Here is a 23,004-nt window from a genome sequence, read left to right on the forward strand (position 1 = left end):
CACGGCATGGAGCTTCGGTCAACTTCTGTGCAATATGTGAGACCCCTATGGAGGAGTAGGGGTTGAGGATGACTAACTTATGGCTGCTTGGAGAAATAGTCAAAGCCTCTAAGCTGATGAGAAGGGCTGATGATGGCCCCCTTTTTCCTCCACATCTTCATGACATTTTCATATAGCCAGGGTGGAAAACACACAGCTGCTAACCCCAATGAGATTTTTAGTATAAAGCAGGGTTTGTTCGCACAATTGACATTTTGGACTGGATAAGTCTTTGTGGTGGGCTGTCCTATGCATTTTAAGATGCTTAAGGGCATCCCTGGCTTCCATCTGCTAGATGCCAAAAATCTCCCCAGACATTGCAGAAGGTCCCCTGAGGGTAAAACCACACCCATCACTTCCTCACTCCACCACGCCCTGGTGGGAACCGCTGCTATAGGAACAGAGGTTCTCTGTAACTGTTAGAGAATGCAAGTTCATGTCTGAAAACAAAGCCTTGAATTAGAGATAAATTTGGGTTTCATTTTGTTTTGCAGGATTTAAAAAATGTCACTAGGTACTGCTATACATCATGTGACTCTTAAAGGTTTTATCTAAATTAGCTTAATGATAACATCATCAGCACTTTCACGTGGCAATTAGTAGTGTTTTCAGGGGATTTGTTGCAGTTGATGTGATTTTTTTTTTTTTTTTTTTTTGAGATGGAGTCTCACTCTGTCACCCAGGCTGGAGTGCAGTGGCGCAATCTTGGGTCACTGCAACTTCTGCATCCCAGGTTCAAGCGATTCTCCTGCCTCAGCCTCCCGTGTAGCTGGGACTACAAGTGCATGCCACCACACCCAGTTAATTTTTTGTATTTTTAGTAGAGACTGGGTTTCACCGTATTAGCCAGGATGGTCTTGATCTCCTGACCTCGTGATCCACCTGTCTCTGCCTCCCAAAGTGCTGGGATTACACGCGTAAGCCACTGCGCCCAGCCCGCAGTTTATGTGAATTTAAGGTTAGAACAGTGGCTTTCAATTCTAGCTGCATGTTAGAAATGCCTTGGGGCCTGAAAATGAGCAAATGTACACTGTCCAGAGTCCATCCCAGACTATTTAATCAGAACCTTTGGAAGGTGAGGGAGGGGACTGGGACCTGAGTTATTTAAATATACAACTAATTTAGAGGTTTTTGTTTTTTTTTTTTAACTTTCTAAAAATCTTGTCAAAGCTATCAGTAAAAGGAAACTTAAAACTTCTCAATTAGAGAAAATGGAAATGAATTGTTTCTGTATAATTTCTTTTCATTTGCTATTCTGGCATTCTCCCCCTCCCTGCTTTTAGTAGCAGCCTTGAACAAGATTATTTAATTTTCAAAATAACATTTTTTTTAAAAAAAATGACTGCTATTGTCACTATCCTGCTTCCTTCTCCCTTCATGGGAGTACAATATCCATCTACCTCCTACCCTCCTTGCCTTGGAAAGTGGCAGTGGAACTCTACAGAGCTCCTCATGGGATGAAGTGAGGTAAGAGAGTGAGAAATGGGGGGACAAGAGTGTCAGATTTAACATTAGAAAACTTGGGTTTGAGGCCAGGCACAGTGGCTCACGCCTGTAATCCCACCACTTTGGGAGGCCGAGGCAGGTGGATTACTTGAGGCCAGGAGTTCGAGACTACCCTGGCCAACATGAAACCTTTTCTCTACTAAAGATACAAAAATTAGCTGGGCGTCATGGCACACACCTGTAATCCCAGTTACTTGTGAGGCTGAGGCATAGAATTGCTTGAACCTGGGAGGCAGAGGCTGCAGTGAGCCGAGATTGTGCCATTGCACTCCAGCCTAGGTGATAGAGCAAGACTCCATCTCAAAACAAACAAACAAACAAACAAACCTGGGTTTGACTTCTGTCTTTGGCAGTTACTAAGTCATATTTACTTGGTGAGGTAGGGACCTTTCTGCATTCCATTTTCTTACTGGAATCCCTATCTGGCCTTCCTTAAAAGTTACGTAGGTGGTTCCACATGAAAGAATGTATGTCACAGTATCTCGCTAAGTTTCATTAAAATGTTATAGCAGCATTAATACTTTTCTTGCATTAACAGGAGAAAAAGAGGAATATTTCGACTGATGTGATGAAAAGGTTTTCTGTCTCAGAAAGAGGATCTTTGTGGCCTAAAGCCTCTGAAGTCCAGTCTAACTGTTAATTTCTTATGCCATTGTCTAGGGCTGGAGAAGTGGCTTAAAACATATTATTTATGATCTTATTAATGATATATGTTTATAGATGATCGGATATAAAAGACCTAGTCTGTATACTGATTTATGACCCATATATTCACCATTATGATACCACAGCTTCTTCATTTGCTTACCTTCCACTTGTATAAATTTCTAGCTCCTACATGTTTTGCCTTATTGTTAATACTGTTATGTGAAATCCACATCTTATTATATTCAGCCTTGAATATAAAAGGCAGACAAGCCATTCGTATTTGCCAGTGTAATTATGTGCTTATGATATTTTCATACAGTTTAAAATAGTTGATGCTATATGGATTTATCACAGTATTTTGTAATACATTTTTACTTGCTGCTTAATTTGAGGAGGAAATATTTTGAAGTTTCTCTTTTCTTTGTTTTCCCTCAGAGCTACCAATCCATCCTTTAAGGAAGTATTGTCAAGGATTGAGTCCCATGAAGACTGTAGGAACTTACCCATGATCTCTTTTCTCATTCTCCCCATGCAGAGGGTGACCCGCCTTCCCCTGCTGATGGATGTAAGACATGACGGTGGCTTTTTCCTCTGTGGATAGCTGTGCTTCTCTAAATCTGATTTAGAAAATTATTATTATTCCACTTAAATTGATGCATATTTAAAGGTCTAAAAATCCCCCAATTAAGTGAGAAGGTGTTGTTTGTTCAGAAAGTCTCACCTGTATCTGATATCTCTGGAAATTATCTTTCATTTAGGCTTCTATGGTCATTCTGAAGAAATTGGATCTCATCACCCACTTACTCAGCATTTTTTGAAATAGGAAGAGTTGTGGCTTCTTTATGTCAGGAGGCCTGGATTCCAATTCTAGCTAAGCCATTAGGCATGTGACCTTGAGCAACTCAGTCTCTTTGGGCCTAAGATTCCTCAGACTGATCACTGAGATCCCTTCATCTATAATGTTCCAAGGTGCCCTGGGCCTTCCATTTCATACAGGAATGAGAGTCTCTTCAGCATGACAAGGCATAGTACTGCCTGTATTATGCATTGTGCGAAGTGAGTGAGGAAAGCCCAGCTTCCTTCTTGTGTTAGGCAGCATTCATGAGGAAAGCAAGTGTTTTTGACTTTGAATCACGGCAAGACATGACTGGGAAAAGTGAGTAGAGTCTGCCTAGTAGTACGTGCAGCTGGAAAGACAGGTAGGCTATGGGCAGGAGAGCCTGCCACTGGCTGCACTGGAGCTGCTGGGGCAGCAAAAGAGAAAAGTGGGGTGGCTCGACACAGGTGCCATTCTAGCAGTGGATCACAGAGTGTCTTTTTGATCTAATTAGAAAATATTTTGTTATGATTTTCCTACTTTAAAATTGGATCATAATGTTGATATAAGGTCAACTTTTTACATACCTGATTTTGACTAATCAAAACAAAGTAAAATATATATTAAAAATTATGATTAAGGTTACAAAGTAAATTTCACATTCTGTATCCCATTGTAAATTCTAAAATACATTCTTTAAAAATGCTGAAATTTTGAAATGTGTAAAAGCATGGAATCATGAGCATTTAGCTGACTGCTGCAGTTTTGGAGACGTTTTGTCAGGTATTTCAGGATTCATAGCACCTTGTGCTCCTCAAGTTTACTTCGATCTACTGCCTTTACACCTTCTCCACCCATCACCTGTAATTCAGGAACTTCCCCCCTGTGTACATATTGGGAAGCTTGCAGTTTTGAACATTTCACTTTCTGATTTTTTTTTGAGATCAGTATTTATCATGTTTAAAGATAGAATGTGGCTAAGTTATCAGAATCGAATTTTTGCTTAAGAAGGAAACTTTGGTCCATATAAGGAAGTATTATTTCAAACATGACTATTTTTTTAAGCAAGAAGTGAATGCCTTGTAAATACAACATTTCTTGTAATATTAGACTTTTGAATTTTCAGGGTTTTCTTCTTCTGAAAATGCATTTTATTCCTCTTTGAGAATTGAAATAAAAGAACAAAAATAAATAAAATGCATTTTAAACATGTTTTCCAGATTTTATATATGCTGTGATGGCCAAGCCTTTTATATCCTCTTTAAATTTGAGAAAATTACTTGTATGGAATGGGACTCTAAAATCTAACACATTATGTTATACAGTGTTGGAGATTCATGCCATGATTGCTCAGTAGGCTTTAAACTTTTTTTAAGCCACAGACCCCCCCTTGAGATTCTGAGTAAAGCTATAGCTTTTCTTCCCAGAGAATATGTGTATGCACAAAATTTTACATAAAATATCAATATATGGAATCCAGCTAAGGATGCCTGCTCTCAGGGACATAAACCAGTATTTTTCATGCTGCTTTCATACCCATTAGTGGGCCATAAAACTGATTTTTGAATTATGAGCATATGTACGTTGCTCATAAAGTGGTTAAATATTGTTTCATAAAATCCTGGTTCATTTATGTGTGCATGTGTGCTGGTTGCAGTGTAAAAGTATTTCTTACAGTGAGTCATAGTCAAAAAATATAAGAACCTCCACAGATGGTGCACTCTGTGTTTCTCACATAGCAGATAGTTAAAAATCTTGATGCCTGACTTTCAGATGGCTTGGCTTGGTGCTTCTGTACATTTAAGGGACCAGTGACTTGCTAGTAGCCAACTACTTTCTACCTCTGCCTGATGCCTGTTGCTCTAATCTGTTTCTCATGTGTGGAAATCTGGCCATTTAGGCAGAATGTAAATGTATTTAAAATAGTGTCTCTTCAATTTTACCTCATTTGGAAATTCAGTTAAGCTTGTTCATTAAAATAAACACTTTCAGTAATTAAAGTGGTTCCCTGGGCTTTGAATGTGTGTGTATAGCTTTAAAGTTATATGTAATTAAATTTACCGTGAATTGACCCTGTTTGACCTGATTTTCCTATCACAAATGAAATTTCTCAGTATAAATATATCAACAGAAAACCTAGCAGGCTTTTTTTCCTTTGCTGGTTTTTTTGGGTTTTTTTTTGACTGTTTTTTCTTTGAGATGCTGTCACCCAGGAGTGCAATGGTGCGATCTCGGCTCGCTGCAACCTCCACCTCCCAGGCTCAAGTGACCCTCCCACCTTAGCCTCCTGAGTAGCTGGGACCACAGGTGCACACCACCATGCCTGGCTAATTTTCTTTTAGTATTTTTGTAGAGATGGGGTTTTTCCATATTGCCCTGGCTCCTGGACTCAAGTATTCTGCCTGCCTTGGCTTTCCAAAGTGCTGGGATTACAGACATGAGCCACTGTGCCTGGCTGTTCTTTTTATTCAAAATGTATCATCTATAAATATAATTGCCTCTAATAATAATGATTATAATGGTGATAATTAAAGTAACTCTTATTTATTGAGGGCATACCCTATGCCAGGCACTAATAAAGAACTTTACATAAATTATCATTAACACTTCTAACAACCTTGTGATGTAGCTGGCATCACCCCAGTTTTACAGATGAGGAAAGAGAGGCTTATAAAGATAGAGTTAGTGACTTGCTCAAGATTTGATAACTAGTAAGGGCAGACCTGGGATTTGAAACCAGGGTTACCCACCTCTGAATTCTATCTTTCTTAACCATTCCCTGGATGGACTTGGATCCTGTGTTTAAAGATTATTTCCTGGTTTTTAAATTGGGTTTTAATATTATCCTCATACTCATCCGTAATATCGTGTTTGGCATTGTTTGCTATGAGTAAAAGGATATGGCTGGACATTGGTTTTATTTTACTTAATAAAATAGATCAATAAATTTTGTTCACTTTTATTTCATTACAGACTATCTGTCAAAAAACACCTAAGGACTCTCCGAAGTATGAAGTCTGCAAAAGAGCCTTGAAGGAAGTTAGCAAGGTAACTGTTGGGTGACAGTTTGTTTGTAAGACAGGAAACCATTCAGTTAGCTCAGACACAAAGTGTGTCTTGGCTTGATGCTGAAAACTGGTAGAGTCTCACAGCCATTTGTACAGCGTTCTTTAGGTAGTTGCAAAACAAAATCATATTTGCTATACTCAGGTGAAGTTGGTATTTTTACTGTTTCAGACAGTTTTGTTTTAAGAGCCTACAGATACCTCATTTTCTTTTGGTGGCTGAATAGCTGTTTATTCATTTCTCGTTCAGTAAATGTTTATTGAGTATCAACCACTGTGCCAAGAATGATGCCAGTTCTTGGAAATGCAGTGATGAGTGAGGCACGTGTAGTCACTGTGCTCGTGGAATGTGCAGTGGAAAGAGGAGGGCAGACATTAAACAGAGTTACAATGAAGGGTAGTGGGTGATGTGATAGGGAAGTCCACAGTGGTGTCTAAGCTGAGACCTAACACAGGAGTGGCTGTGAGCCCAGGATTGGGGGAAGAGAGTGTCTCAGGTATGTGTAGAGGTCCAAAGGCAAGAAAATATTGGAGATTTTGAAGAACTGGAATGTTCTCCATGTGGCTAGGATGCAATCTGAGAGACAGCACTAGGGAACCAGCTGTGTGGGGCCTTGTTATACATGCTAGGCTGTTGGGGGCCTGATCGTAAGATGATGTAGAGGCTAAATTCATGTATTATGAAGATGATAGTGGTGATGGGGCCAGTTCTGAGGCCAGTGATAGTTGATTAGGCAAGGGATGGCAGTGGCCCCTATTGACATGATGGTAAGGTGGTGAGAAGTCTACCTGTATACTGGGGAGGCAGACTTGGAAACTGATTGGGTGAGCACATTTCAGGACAGAAGTCAAGGAATATTGTCTGTGGCTTGGGCAGCGAGGTAGATGCTCTTCCTTCATCTACGATAGAAACATAGGGAGAGTGGATAAGTTCCATTTGGGTTGTGTTGTCATTGAGATTCCTATAGAACGTCCAAGTTGGCTAAATAAACAAATCAGAAGCTCAGAGAGGAGACCTGAACTGGAGACATGGATTTGGGAATCATCAGCATATGGACAATAGTTGAAGCTGGGTGAGTGGATGAGGTTACTTAGGGAGACTGGAATGAGAAGGGCAGTGAGCCTGAGGAATGACCATGAGGAATGCTAGCATTCATAGTCTTATTAGGGAAAATGAGCCAGTGGAGAAAACTAAAAAGAACAAAACAAAGTAAAACATACCAGGGAAGAGGAAGGAAAACCGTAATAGCTTGGCAAATGGCAGTTAATTTGGTGGTTAACTCTGTTGAATGCTTCTGAAAGATAAAGTGGGATAATGATTGAAGTTATCCTTAGGTTTATCATCAGTAGGTTGTATACTGGGGTTGGGGGGCGGGGATAGGGAACCTGAGCTGAGTGTATTGAGAAATGAGAGGGAGGTGTGAATATGCAGCCAGCCGGCAGTGGTAGCTAACTGTCTAAATTCAGGGAGTAGAAAGAGAAAGAGCTGTAGCTGAAAGGGAAGTGAGAGAGGGTCTTCGTTAGTGTATTTGTTTAAAGATTAGAAAAATGTAGGTAGGGTTAGCTACTGATAGAAATATCTAGCTGAGAGGAAGCAATAGAAGGTGTAGGTGTCACTGAGGATACTGTATGAGGTTGGCACAGAGGAGCAAAGATAATGGTAGCATCAGAAGCTTCCTAAATGTCTCCAGTTACATAGCCCTATATGAATTGGGTATGGCTTTGTACCACTTTGCTATGAAGTACTGTTTCTTTTAGTCAATTTACATCGAGTCACCATTTTACTTACCCTCTTCCTTGCCAATAATATTTACAAAATCATGGGTTTTATTAGTTGTTTATTTTTCTAACATTTTTGTAGTAAAAGTAAGTGTATCTGTGAGCCACTTAAATTCATCTCTTCATCCCATCAGTGGTCTGCACACCTATTTTGGGAACAGTAAGTAAAGAAAGCCTGACAAGTGAGAAGTTACCTAAGGTACTATTGCCAGTGGTGCTTCCTCCAAGACCTCAAGTCCTGTGCTGCTTTCCTAGAGGAGGAACTGGGGAGGGAAACGGGGGAAGGTTTTTAGGAGAAACTACTAGAGAAGTTCTAGTCTTGGACATAAATGGGATTTTGACAAATTTTGCCTGGTTGTTACTAAGAAATTGAAAAAAAAAAAGAATTTGCACAGAGAAAAAAATAGGAAGGTACTAGTAGTTGGTTGTTGAATTAAACCTGGAATGTTACTTAATTTTTTTCAAGAATTTTACATCTCAGTTACAGTAGATTACTACATTCCTTCAGGCATCTCTTGTTCACTTGATTTCATACTGATACTTTCAGGAAAGGCTGGCAAAAATGTAATAGACCAGTGAGTTGCTTTACCTTGATACTATAAGTATACAAAAAGCTATCATGTGAAGAGATGTCATTCCAGTGACTTGCTTTCTCTGAAGGGCATCATTCCTTTCTCTCTATTGAGCATGAATCATGAATATTAGAAATATTCCTTCAGTCTCCCAGCGTTACAGGGAAACTGAAATCGTTGATATAGTCAGCTCAATAATTAATCTTCTTTTTTATTTGTAAAGGTTACTGATGAGGTTTTATAGAATCTGGGAAAACAATATGAATATTTTCAGCAGAAAGAGTATGCATAGAGAGCATTTATGGTTTAGAATGAAAATGTAGAACTACACTTGTTTGCTTTATCAGAGAAATTGGGAGTTCCCAATATTTTATTTTAGAGAGTTAAATTTGGTATGTTGAGGCCCAAGGTTTAGAACCAGATGCTGCCTTAATGTCTTGGGTAAGTCTCTCTAGGTAGTTACTCATTCTTGGAAAAAAAGAGTCATACCATTTTGGTAGTTAAAATAATGCAGTTTATTTGCAAGATGCGAATAATACTTTGCTGAAATTGCTCATGCATGTTGCCTTAAAGACTGTGACAATTTCTTTAATTTAGGGCCTTGGAAAGACTTACTGACCTAATCAAACAACTCAAAAACAAGAACAACATTTCTATAAAATGAAAATGTGCTTACCTCCTGATTTTCTGTTAACATGCTGGGGGGAGAAATTCTAGGGAATCTGATAATTTCCATAGGAATCTGGTAATTCAGCTCATCTAGAGTGATGTGTACCATGTAAGGAATAGTGATCAAGAGATGGTCTTATGCCAAATGAATCTTCCCTGTTATTTCCTTCTGTTTACTCTCCCATGGAAAGAGAATGTCTGCTTTAACTCTGACCTCATCAAAATTCCGTTTAGAGTTGGAGATAGTGTTACATTATGAGCCTTTCTCCCAGAGGCAAAATAGTCAAGCTCTATTTAATCTTTTCGTATAACGTATTGCTTCAGCCATTTACAAAGAAGTACATGTGTATGACAAATGGCCAACAAACGTGAAAAAATGCTCAGCATCACTAACTATAAAGGCAAATTAAAACCACAATGAGGTACCACCTTACTCCTGCAAAAATGGCCATAATTCAAAAATAAAAAATAGTAGATGTTGGCATGGATGTGGTGAAAAGGAAACACTTTTACCCTGATGGTGGGAATGTAAACTAGTACAACCAATATGGAAAACAGTATGGAGATTCCTTAAAGAACTAAAAGTAGAGCTACCATTCAATCCAGCAATCCCACTACTGGATATCTACCCAAAAGAAAAGAAGTCATTATGTGAAAAAGACACTTGCACACTCATGTTTATAGCAGCACAATTTGCAGTTGCAAAAATATGGAACTAATCCAAATGTCCATCAACCAATGAATGGGTAAAGGAAATGTGGCATATATACACCATGGAATACTACTCAGTTGTAAAAAGAAACAAAATAATGGCATTTGCAGCAACTTGGATGGAGTTGGAGACCGTTATTCTAAGTGAAGTAATTCAGGAATGGAAAACCAAATATCATGTGTTCTGACTTATAAGTGGGAGCTAAGCTATGAGGATGCAAAGGCATAAGAATGATATTATGGACTATGGGGACTTGGGGAGAAGGGGGAAAAGGGCTTGGGATAAAAGAGTACACATTGGGCACAGTGTACACTGCTCAGGTGATGGGTACACCAAAATCTCCTAAATCACCACTAAAGAACTTCTCCATGGAATCAAAAACTACCTGCTCCCTGAAAAGTATTGAAATAAATTTTTTTATAGATAAGTAGATACAAAAGTATTTTTATTATTTTATTAATTTTGTGGGTACATAGTAGGTACATATATTTATGAGGTACATGAGATGTTTTGATATAGGCATGCAGTGTGAAATAAGCACATCATGGAGAATGGGGTATCCATCCCCTCAAGCATTTATCCTTTGAGTTAAAAATAATTCAGTTAAACTCTTTATTTTAAAATGTAGGGGGTTATTATTGACTGTAGTCACCCTGTTGTGCTATCACATAGATCATATAGTAGGTCTTGTTCATTTTATTTTTTTTTTATACCCATTAACCATCCCCACCTCCTCCCCAGCCCCCGACTACCCTTCCTAGCCTCTGGTAAGCATCATTCTACTCTCTATGTCCATGAGTTCATTTTTAAAAAAAATTTTTAAATCCCAAAAATGAGAACATGTAATGTTTGTCTTTCTGTGTCTGGCTTATTTCATTTAACATAATGACCTCCAGTTCCAGCCGTGTTGTTGCAAATGACTAGATATCATTCTTTTTCATGGCTGCATGATACTCCATTGTGTGTATGTACTACATTTTCTTCATTCTTTCATCTACTGATGGACATTTAGGTTGCTTCCAGATCTTAGCTATTGTAAACAGTGCTGCAGCCAACATAGAAGGGCAGATATCTCTTTGATATACTACTTTCCTTTATTTTGGGTATATACCCAGCAGTAGGATTTCTGAATCATATGGTAATCAATTTTTAGTTTTTTAAGGAACCTCCAAACTGTTCTCCATAGTGGTTGTACTAATTTACATGCCCACCATCAGTGTATGAGGGTTCTCTTTTCTCCACATCCTTGCCAGCATTTGTTATTGCCTGTCTTTTGGATATAAACCATTTTAACTGGAATAAGATGATATCTCATTGTAGTTTTGATTTGCATCTCGCTAATGATCAGTGATGTTGACCTTTTCATATGCCTGTTTGCCATTTGTATGTCTTTTGAGAAATGTCTATTCAAATCTTTGCCCATTTTTGATTGGATTATTAGATTTTTTTTCTATAGAGTTATTTGAGCTCCTTATGTATTCTGGTTATTAATCCCTTGTCAGATGGCTAGCTTGCACATATTTTCCTTCTATTCTGGGGGTTGTCTCTTCCCTTTGTTGACTCTATACTTTGCTCTGCAGAAGCCTTTTAACTTGTTGTGATCCCATTTGTCCATTTTTGCTTTGGCTGCCTGTGGTTGTAGGGTATTTTTCAAGGAATTTTTGCCCAGACCAATGTGCTGGAGATTCTCCCCAATATTTTCTTGTAGTACTTTTATAGTTTGAGGTCTTAGATTTAAGTATTTACTCCATTTTGATTTGATTTTTGTATATGGTAAGAGATAGGGGTATAGTTTTATTCTTCTGCATATGGATATTCAGTTTTCTCAGCACCATTTATTAAAGAGACTGTCTTTTCCTCAGTGTATGTTTTTGGCACTTTTGTCATAAATGAGTTCACTGTAGGTGTGTGGATTTGTTTCTAAGTTCTTTTTTCTGCTCCACTGGCCTATGTGTCTGTTTTTATGCCAGTACCATGCTGTCTTGGTTATTATCGCTCTGTAATATAATTTGAAGTCAGGTAAAGTCATTCTTCCAATTTTGTTCTTTTTGCTTAGGACAGCTTTGGCTATTCTGGGTCTTTTGTGGTTTCATATACATTTTAGGATTTTTTATATTTTTGTAAAGAATGTCATTGGTATTTTGTTAGGATTTACATTGAATCTGTAGAATTCTTTGGGTAGTATGGACTTTTTAATAATTTTAATTTAATAATTTAATTTAATAATTTTAATAATATTGATTCTTCCAATCCATGAACATGGAATATTTTTTAATTTTTTAGTGTCTTCTTCAATTTCTTTTATCAGTGTTTCATAGTTTTTCTTATAGAGATCTTTCACTTCTTTGGTTAATTCCTAAGTACTTAATTTTACATGTGGCTATTGTAAATGAGATTACTTTTTAATTTCTTTTTCACATTGTTCACTGTTGGCATATAGAAATGCTACTGATTTTTGTATGTTGATTTTGTATCCTGCAACTTTACTGAATTTGTTTATTCTGATAGTTTTTATTTTGTGGAGATCAAATATAAGATTTTTTTTTATTATACTTTAAGTTTTAGGGTACATGTGCACAAGGTGCAGGTTTGTTACGTATGTGTATAAATGTGCCATGTTGGTGTGCTGCACCCATTAACTCTTCATTTAATATTAGGTTTATCTCCTAATGCTATCCCTGCCCCCTCCCCCGACCCCACCACAGGCCCCAGTGTGTGATGTTCCCCTTCATGTGTCCATGTGTTCTCATTGTTCAATTCCCACCTAAGAGTGAGAACATGAAGTGTTTGGTTTTTTGTCCTTGAGATAGTTTGCTGAGAATGATGGTTTCCAGCTTCATCCATGTCCCTACAAAGGACATGAACTCATCATTTTTTATGGCTGCATGGTATTCCATGGTGTATATGTGCCACATTTTCTTAATCCAGTCTATCATTGTTGGACATTTGGGTTGGTTCCAAGTCTTTGCTATTGTGAATAGTGCCACAATAAACATACATGTGCATGTGTCTTTATAGCAGCATGTTTTATAATCCTTTGGGTATATACCCAGTAATGGGATGGCTGGGTCAAATGAAATTTCTAGTTCTAGATCCCTGAGGAATCGCCACACTGACTTCCACAATGGTTGAACTAGTTTACAGTCCCACCAACAGTGTAAAAGTGTTCCTATTTCTCCACATCCTCTCCAGCACCTGTTGTTTCCTGACTTTTTAATGATTGCCATTCTAACTGGTGTGAGATGGTATCTCATTGTGGTTTTGATTTGCATTTCTCTGATAGCCAGTGATGATGAGCATTTTTTCATGTGTCTTTTGGCTGCATTAATGTCTTCTTTTGAGAAGTATCTGTTCATATCCTTCACCCACTTGTTGATGGGGTTGTTTGTTTTTTTCTTGTAAATTTGTTTGAGTTCATTGTAGATTCTGGATATTAGCCCTTTGTCAGATGAGTAGGTTGCGAAAATTTTCTCCCATTTTGTAGGTTGCCTGTTCACTCTGATGGTAGTTTCTTTTGCTGTGCAGAAGCTCTTTAGTTTAATTAGATCCCATTTGTCAATTTTGGCTTTTGTTGCCATTTGTTTTGGTGTTTTAGACATGAAGTCCTTGCCCATGCCTATGTCCTGAATGGTATTGCCTAGGTTTTCTTCTAGAGTTTTTATGGTTTTAGGTCTAACATTTAAGTCTTTAATCCATCTTGAATTAATTTTTGTATAAGGTGTAAGGAAGGGATCCAGTTTCAGCTTCCTACATATGGCTAGCCAGTTTTCCCAGCACCATTTATTAAATAGGGATTCCTTTCCCTATTTCTTGTTTTTGTCAAGTTTGTCAGAGATCAGATAGTTGTAGATATGCGGCATTATTTCTGAGGGCTCTGTTCTGTTCCCTTGGTCTATATCTCTGTTTTGGTACCAGTACCATGCTGTTTTGGTTACAGCCTTGTAGTATAGTTTGAAGTCAGGTAGCGTGATGCCTCCAGCTTTGTTCTTTTGGCTTAGGATTGACTTGGCAATGTGGGCTCTTTTTTGGTTCCATATGAACTTTAAAGTTGTTTTTTCCAGTTCTGTGAAGAAAGTCATTGGTAGCTTGATGGGGATGGCATTGAATCTATGAATTACCTTGGGCAGTATGGCCATTTTCAAGATATTGATTCTTCCTACCCATGAGCATGGAATGTTCTTCCATTTGTTTGTATCCTCTTTTATTTCGTTGAGCAGTGGTTTGTAGTTCTCCTTGAAGAGGTCCTTCATGTCCCTTGTAAGTTGGATTCCTAGGTATTTTATTCTCTTTGAAGCAATTGTGAATGGGAGTTCACTCATGATTTGGCTCTCTGTCTGTTATTGGTGTATAAGAATGCTTGTGATTTTTGCACATTGATTTTGTATCCTGAGACTTCGCTGAAGTTGCCTATCAGCTTAAGGAGATTTTGGGTTGAGACGATGGAGTTTTCTAGATATACAATCATGTCATCTGCAAACAGGGACAATTTGACTTCCTGTTTTCCTAATTGAATACCCTTTATTTCCTTCTCCTGCCTGATTGCCCTGGTCAGAACTTCCAGCACTATATTGAATAGGAGTGGGGAGAGAGGGCATCCCTGTCTTGTGCCAGTTTTCAAAAGGAATGCTTCCAGTTTTTGCCCATTCAGTATGATATTGGCTATGGGTTTGTCATGGATAGCTCTTATTATTTAGAGATACGTCCCATTGATACCTAATTTATTGAGAGTTTTTAGCATGAAGGGTTGTTGAATTTTGTCAAAGGCCTTTTCTGCATCTGTTGAGAAATCATATGGTTTTTGTCTTTGGTTCTGTTTATATGCTGGATTACATTTATTGATTTGCATATATTGAACCAGCCCTGCATCCCAGGGATGAAGCCCACTTGATCATGGTGGATAAGCTTTTTGATGTGCTGCTGGATTCGGGTTACCAGTATTTTATTGAGATCTTATCATCTGCAAACAGGATAATTTGATTTCTTCCTTCCAAATTTGGATGGTGTTTATATCATTCTCTTGTTTGATTGTACTAGCTAGGATTCCAGTACTATGTCAAATAATGGTGGTGAAAGTGGATATCCTTGTTATGTTCCAGATATTAGAGGAAAGGTTTTCAGTTTTCTCCATTCAGTTGATACTAGCTATGGGTCTGTCATATGATTTTTTATCATGTTGGGGTATGCTCCTTCTATACCCAGTTTTTGAGGGTTTTTAGCACGAAGGGATGTTGAATTTTATCAAATGCTTTTTCTGCACAATTGAAATGATCATTTTTTTTTGTTCTTCATTTGGTTGATATAATGTATTACACTGATTGGTTTGCCTATGTTGAACCATCCTTGCATCCCAGGGATAAATCCCGCTTGGCCATGATAATCTCTCTTTTTTTTTTTTTGATAATCTTTCTAATGTGTTGTTGAATTCAATTTGCTAGTATTTTTTTGAGGATTTTTGCATTAATATTAATCATAGATATTGTCCTGTAGTTTTCTTTTTTGATGTGTCTTTGTCTGGTTTTGGTATCACGGAAATATTGGCCTTGTAGAATTAGTTTGGAAGTATTCCCTCCTCCTCTATTTCCTGGAATAGGTGGGGTAGGGTTGGTATTAGTTCTTTAAATGTTTAGTAGAATTCAGCAGTGAGGCCATTGAGTGTCAGGCTTTGCTTTACTGGGAGACTTGTTATTACAGCTTCAATCTCATTACTTGTTACTGGTCTATTCAGCTTTTTGATTTCTTCTTGGTTCAATCTTGGTAGGTGGTATGTGTATGGGAATTTTCCATTTCCTTTAGTTTTTCTTTATTATTTGTTTTCTACCAATTTTGGGTTTGGTTGAGTTTCATTGTTAGTTTATTTTTCTTTTCCTTTTTTTTTTTTTTTTTTGAGACAAGAGTTTTGCTGTATCTCCCAGGCTGGAGTGCAGTGGCATGATCTTGGTTCACTGCAACCTCCGCCTCCTGAGTACAGGCGTATCTCATGCCTCAGCCTCTCAAGTAGCTGGGACTACAGGTACATGCCTGGCTAATTTTTGTATTACTTTTTAGTAGAGATGGGGTTTCACCATGTTGGCAGGCTGATCTCGATCTCCTGGTCTCCAGTGATCCCCCCGCCTCGGCCTACCAAAGTGCTGGGATTATAGGCATGAGCCACTGTACCCAGCCTTTTCCTCTTTTTTGATTTATTCACTTACAGCTATAAAATTCCCTCTTTATACTGCTTTTAGTGTATCACATAGGTTTTGATATGTTGTGTTTCCATTATCATTTGTTTCAAGAAATTTTTACATTTCCTTAATTTTTTCTTTAACCTACTGGTCATTCAGGAGCATATTTTTTAATTTCTATGTATTTGTACACGTTCCAAAATTCCTGTTACTAATTTTTAGTTTTATTTCATTGTGGTCAAAGAATATGCTTGATATTACTTCAGAATTTTTGAATATTTTATGACTTGTTTTGTGACCTAAATATGGACAGTTATTGAGAATGATCCAAAGAATGTGTATTTTATAGCTCCTGGATGAAATGTTCTGTAAATATCTATTAGATCCATTTGGTCTATAGTGCAGATTAAGTCTGATGTTTCTTTGTTGATTTTCTGTCTGGAAGATCTGCCCAGTGCTGAATGTGGGATGTTGAAGTCTCTAGCTATTATGGTACTATGGTGTATCTCTTTCTTTACCTTTAATAATATTTGCTTTATATATCTATGTGTTCCAGTGTTGAGTTCATATATATTTAATATTATTATATCCTCTTGCTGAATTGACCTCATTATCATTATATAGTGACTTTCTTTGTGTCTTCTTGCAGTTTTTTCTGGAAATCCATTGTGTCTGATATAAGTATAGCAACTCCTGTTTTTTTTTGTTTTGGTTTCCATTGACGTGGAGTATCTTTCTCCATCCTTTGTTTTTAGCCTATGTGTGTCTTTATAGGTAAAGTGTGTTTCTTGTAGGCAACAGATCAATCAGTCTTGTTTTTTCATCCATTCTGCCAGTCTGTGTCTTTTGATTAGAGAGTTTAGTCCATTTACATTCAATGTTATTATTGGTAAGTATGGACTTACTCCTGCCCTTTTGTTATTTGTTTTCTGGTTGTTTTGTGGTCTTCTATTCCTTCTTTCCTTCCTTTTTGTCTTCCTCTAGTGAAGATTATTTCATCTGATTTAGTTTTTTGCTTTTTATTTTTTGTGTTTAAGGTTATCATGAGGCTTGCAAATATTATAACCCATTATTTTAACACAATAACAGCACTATTTGCATAAGCAAGGAAACAAGCAAACAGAAAACTAATAAGAACTCTATGCCTTAACTTTGTACCCCCACTTTTAATCATTTTGTTGTTTCTGTTTATATCTTATTGTACTGACTATGCCTTGAAAAGTGGTTGTAGTTACTATTTTTGATTGGTTAATCATTTACTCTTCTACTTAGGGTAGGGGTAGTTTACACACCATAGTTACAGTGTTATAATATTCTGTGTTTTTCTATGTATTTACTATTAACAGTGAGTTTTGTACCTTCAGGTGATTACTTATTATTGATTAATATCATTTTCTTTCTGATTGAAGTACTTCCTTTAGCATTTCTTGCAGGAAAGGTCTAGTGTTGATGAAATGCCTCAGCTTTTGTTTGTCTGGGAATGTCTTTGTTTCTCCTTCATGTTTGAAGGATATTTTCACTGGATATACTATTTTATGGTAAAAGTTTTTTGCCTTCAGCACTTGAAATATGTCATGCCCCTCTCTCCTGGCCTGTAAGCTTTCCACTGAAAAGTCTGCTGCCAGATATATTGCAGCTCCACTGTATGTTATTTGTCTCTTTTCTCTTGCTGCTTTTGTTTTATTTATTTTTTGTAGAGATGGGGTCTCACTGTGTTATCCAGCTTGTTCTCAAACTCCTGGGCTCCAAAAGCTTCTTAAGCTGATAAACAACTTGAGCAAAGTCTCAGGACACAGAATTAATTTGCAAAAATTGCCAACATTCCTATACACCAAGAGTGGGCGATCCAAGAGCTAAATCATGAGTGAACTTCCATTCATAATTAACACAAAAAGAATAAAATACCTAAGAATACAGCTAACAAGGGAAGTAAGGACCTCTTCAAGGAGAACTACAAACCACTGCCCAGAGAAATCAGAGATGACATAAACAGATGGAAAAACATTCCATGCTCATGGATGGGAAGAATTAGTATCTTTAAAACGCTAATACTGCCCAAAGCAATTTATAGATTCAATGCTTTTATTATTAAACTGCCATTACATTCTTCACAGAATTAGAAAAAAAGTATTTTAAAATTCCTATGGAACAAACGAAGAGCATAAATAGCCAAGGCAATTCTAAGCAAAAAGAACAAAGCTGGAGGCATCACAGTACCTGACTTCAAACTATACTACAGGGCTACAGTATCCAAAACAGCATGGTACTGGTACAAAAACTGACACAAAGACCAATGGAATAGATAGAGAAACCAAAAATAAGACCATACACCTACAATCATCTGATCTTCAACAAATCTGACCAAAACAGACTGTGGAGAAAGGATTTCCTATTAAATAAATGGTACTGGAAGAACTGGCTAACTGTATGCAGAAAATTGAAACTGGATTCCTTTCTTATACCATATACAAAAATCAAGATAGATTAAAGACTTAAATGTAAACCTTAAAACTATAAAACCCTGAAAGAAAACCTGGTCATACCATTCGGGACATAGGCATGGGCAAAGATTTCATGATGAAGATGCCAAAAACAGTCGTGACAAAAGCAAAAATTGACAAATGAGATCTAATTAAACTAAAGAGCTTCTGCACAGCAAAGGAAACTCTCAACAGAGTAAACAGACAGCCTACAGAATGGGAGAAAATTTCTGTAATCTATGCATCTGACAAAGGTCTAATATCCAGCATCTATAAGAAACTTAAATTTACAAGAAAAAAGAATAACTCTTTTAAAAAGCGGGCAAAGGACATGAACAGACACTTCTCAAAAGAAGACATACATGCAGCCAACAAACATATAAAAAAAAAGCTCAACATCACTGATTAGAGAAATGCAAATCAAAACCACAATGAGATACCATCTCACGCTAGTCAGAATTGCTATTATTAAAAATTCAAAAAATAACATGCTGGTGAGGTTGTGGAGAAAAAGGAATGCTTTTACACTATTGGTGGGAGTGTATATTAGTTCAACCATTATTGAAGACAGTGTGGTGATTCCTTAAAGACCTACAAACAGAAATACCATTTGACACAGCAATCCTATTACTGGGTATGCACCGTAAGGAATAGGAATCGTTCTGTTATAAAGACACATGCACATGTATGTTCATTGCAGCACTACTTACAATAACAAAGACATGGAATCCAGTTAAGTGCCCATCAGTGATAGACTGGATAAAGAAAATGTACATATACACCATGGTATACTATGCAGCCACAAAAAAGAATGAGATCATGTCCTTTGCAGGGACATGGATGGAACTGGAGGCCATTATCCTTAGCAAAGTAATGCAGGAACGGAAAAACACATACCACATGTTCTCACTTATAAGTGAGAGCTAAATGATAAGAATACATGGACACAAGGGGGAAACAACATACACTGGGGCCTATTGGAGGATGGTGGGTGGGAGGAGGGAGTGAATTAGGCAGAATAGCTAGTGGATTCTGGGCAATACTTGGGTGATGGGATGAACTGTGCAGTAAACCACCATGGCAAATGTTTACCTATGTAACAAACCTGCATATTGGGCATACATACCCCTGAAGCTAAAATAAACGTTGGAAATAAAACAAAAACTGGGCTCAAGTGATCCCTTGCCTTGGTCCCTCAAAGTACTGGGATTACAGGTGTGACCGCTATCCTCAGCCTCTTGCTGCTTTCAGGATCCTTTCTTTATCTGTGACCTTTTGGTGTTTAATTATTAAATGCCTTGAGGTAGTCTTTTTTGGGTTAAATTTGCTTGGCGTTCTGTAACCTTCTTGTACTTGGATACTTATATCTTTCTCTAGGTTTGGGAAGTTCTCTGTTATATCCCTTTGAATAAAGTTTCTACCCCGTCTCTTTCTCTACCTCTTCTTTAAGCCCAATAACTCTTAGATTTTCCCTTTTGAGGCTGTTTTCTAGCTCCTGTAGCCATGCTTAATCATTTTGTATTCTTTTTTCTGTTATCTCCTCTGACTGTGTATTTTCAAATAGCCTGTCTTCAAGCTCACTAATTTTTTCTTCTGCTTGACTAATTCTGCTATTAAAGGACTCTGGTGCAGTATTCAGTATGCCAATTGCATTTTTTTTTTTTTTTTTTTTGAGATGGAGTCTCACTCTATCACCCAGGCTGGAGTACAGTGGTGCAATCTTGGCTCACTGCAACCTCCGCCTACCGGATTCAAGCGATTCTCATGCCTCAGCCTCCCAGGTAGCTGGGATTACAGGCACATACCACCATGCCTGGCTAATTTTTTGTATTTTTAGTGGAGACGGGGTTTCACCGTGCTGGCCAGACTGGTTTCAAACTCCTGGCCTCAAGTAATCTGCCCACCTCGGTCTCCCAAAATGCTGGGATTACAGGCGTGAGCCACTGTGCCTGGCCGCCAGTTGCATTTTTTGGCTCCAGAATTTCTGCTTGATTTCTTTTAATTATTTCAATCTCCTTGTTAAATTTAGCTGGTATAATTCTGAATTCCTTCTCTGTATTATCTTGAATTCCTTGAGTTTCCTCAACACAGCTATTTTGAACTCTTTGCCTGAAAAGTCACATATGTGTGTTTCTCCAGGATTGGTCCCTGGTTCCTTATTTAGTTCATTTGGTGAAGTCATGTTTTCCTGGATGGTGTTGATGCTAGTAGGTGTTCTTTGTGTCTGGGCATGGAAGAGTTAGATATTTATTGTAGTCTTCACTGTTTGGGCTTATTTGTACCCATCCTTCTTGGGAAGGCTTTCCAGACATGTGAAAGAACTTGGGTGTTGTGATCTAAGCTGTATCTGCTTTAGGGGCACCCAAAGCCCAGTAACGCTGTGGTTCTTGCAGATTCATATAGGTACCACCTTGATGGTCTAAGATCTGGAAGAATTCTCTGGATTACCAGGTAGAGACTCTTGTTCTCTTCCCTTACTGTCTCCCAGATACATAGCCTCTGTCTTTGTTCTGAGTCACCTAAAGATGAGGGTGGAGTGACACAAGCACCCCTGTGGCCACCCTCACTATGATTGCGCCGGGTAAGACCTGAGGCCAGCACAGTGCTGGATCTCGCTCAAGGTCTGCTCTAACCACTCCCTGGCTACTGCCTGTTTACTCAAGGCCCTTAGGCTCTACAGTCAGTCGACGGCAAAGCCAGCCAGGCCTGTGTCCTTCCCTTCAGGCCAGGGAGGTCCCCCAGGCCCCAGGTGGGTCGAGAGGTACCGTTCACAAACGGTCTAAAGTCTAAAACCTCAGAAGTCTACTTGGCATTCTGTTGTACTGAGGCTGAGCTGCCACTCAAACCACAAGATGCAGTTCCTCCCACTCTAACCTTCCCTTTCCAAAGACGGGAGCCTCTCTTTTTAGCCACCACCACCCCAGGCCACAAGGAGTACTGCCTGACTACTGTTGATGTTCCCTGAAGATCCAAGGGTTCTTAAGTCAGCTTGTGGTGAATGCTGCCTGGCCTGGGACTCACCCTTCAGGGCAGTGGGCTCCCCTCTGACCCAGGGCAGGTCCAGAAATGCCATCCAGAAGTCAAGTCCTGGAGTCGGGGACCCCAGGAGCCTGCTTGGTGTTCTACCTTCCTGTGACCATGCTGGTACCTGAATCCAGGAAGTCTCAGAGGCTGACTCAGGGCCCTCGGCATAGTACCTGGGTATCCAAGCTGTTTATTCAGGGCCCAAGGGCTCTTCAGTTAGCAGGTATTGAATACTGCCAGGACTGGGTTCTTTTCTTCAAGGCAGCAGGTTCCCTTCTGGCGATTCTCATGCCTCAGCCTCCCAAGTAGCTGGGATTACAGGCACTCACCACCAAGCCTGACTAATTTTTTGTATTTTTAGTAGAGACGGGGTTTCACCATGCTGGCCAGGCTGGTCTCAAACTCCTGGCCTCAAGTGATCTGCCCACCTCGGCCTCCCAAAATGCTGGGATGACAGGCGTGAGCCACTGCACCTGGCCGCCAATTGCATTTGGCGCCAGGGTATGTCTACAAACGTTGTCTGGGGCCAGGCACAATGGCTCACACCTGTAATCCCAGCACATTGAGAGGCCGAGGCAGGCGGATCACCTGAGGTCAGGAGTTTGAGACCAGCCTGGCCAATATGGCGAAACCCTATCTCTACTAAAAATACAAAAAATTAGCTGGTTGTGGTGGTGGGCACCTGTAATCCCAGCTACTTGGGAGGCTGAGGCAGGAGAATTACTTGAACCCGGGAGGTGGAGGTTGCAGTGAGCCAAGGTCGCACCATTGCACTCTAGCCTGGGCGACAGATTAAGTCTGTCCCCCCACCAAAAAAAAAAAAATTTGTCTGGGAGGTGGGGCCTGGAACGGGGGCCTCACAACAGTGAGCATTACCCTCTCCCACTGTGGCTGAGCTGGTATCCAAGATGCAAGACAAAGCCCTTCCCATTTTTTCCTCTCGTCTTCTCAAGCAGAAGGAAGGGGTCTCTTTTGGAGCCCCAGCTGTGCTTGCCAGCACTCACTTGGCTGCCACAGCTGGTGTCTCAGTATGTCATGTGAGCCCCCATTCCATTGTCTCTGGGCCTAGTTCAGCACTAGGACTTGCCTAATTGTCACAGTCCTTATGGCCTAAACTGCCTTTCAAGTTCACTGAGAGTCACAGAGTGCTGTAGGCCTTGGTGGTGAGAACTCAAGTTCAGACTGCTGGGATAAGTGATTCCCTTCTGACTAGGGCTGATTTAAATGCTCCCTCCATGGATGGGTATCAGCTGAGTTTGGTCTTTTTTTTTCCTGCTCTAACAGGACAGCATTGAGTTCAGTGTGTCACAATTGCTGTGTTTTCTTTCCCACAGTGCCCAGAGATGCTCTCTGCAACATGCCGCTGCTGTAGGAGACGGGGGTGGGTGGGGGGTGGCATCAGGGATTCAAGACTGTTTTTTCTATCTCTTTAGTGCCTCTTTTCAGCAATACGAAGATAAAACCAGGTACTGAGAGCTCACCTAAGTTTTGGTTCTTATGAAGGTGTTTTCTCTGTGTAGATAGTTGTT

General features: G+C 39.1%; 1 protein-coding gene across 5 annotated transcripts in view; it reads left to right on the plus strand.

The window, feature by feature from the left end:
* ARHGEF26 (Rho guanine nucleotide exchange factor 26) overlaps positions 1 to 23,004 on the plus strand; it is a 136,823-nt gene that overhangs the window by 67,658 nt on the left and 46,161 nt on the right. For all 5 annotated transcript variants that reach the window (NM_001251962.2, NM_015595.4, NM_001251963.2 and 2 more), the window contains exons 8-9: positions 2,629 to 2,758; positions 5,984 to 6,058. In NM_001251962.2, the coding sequence (NP_001238891.1) occupies positions 2,629 to 2,758; positions 5,984 to 6,058 (205 nt within the window). The remainder of the gene's footprint in view (positions 1 to 2,628; positions 2,759 to 5,983; positions 6,059 to 23,004) is intronic.

This window comes from Homo sapiens, chromosome 3 (genome assembly GCF_000001405.40).
Source record: "Homo sapiens chromosome 3, GRCh38.p14 Primary Assembly".
Classification (NCBI taxonomy): Eukaryota; Metazoa; Chordata; class Mammalia; order Primates; family Hominidae; genus Homo; species Homo sapiens.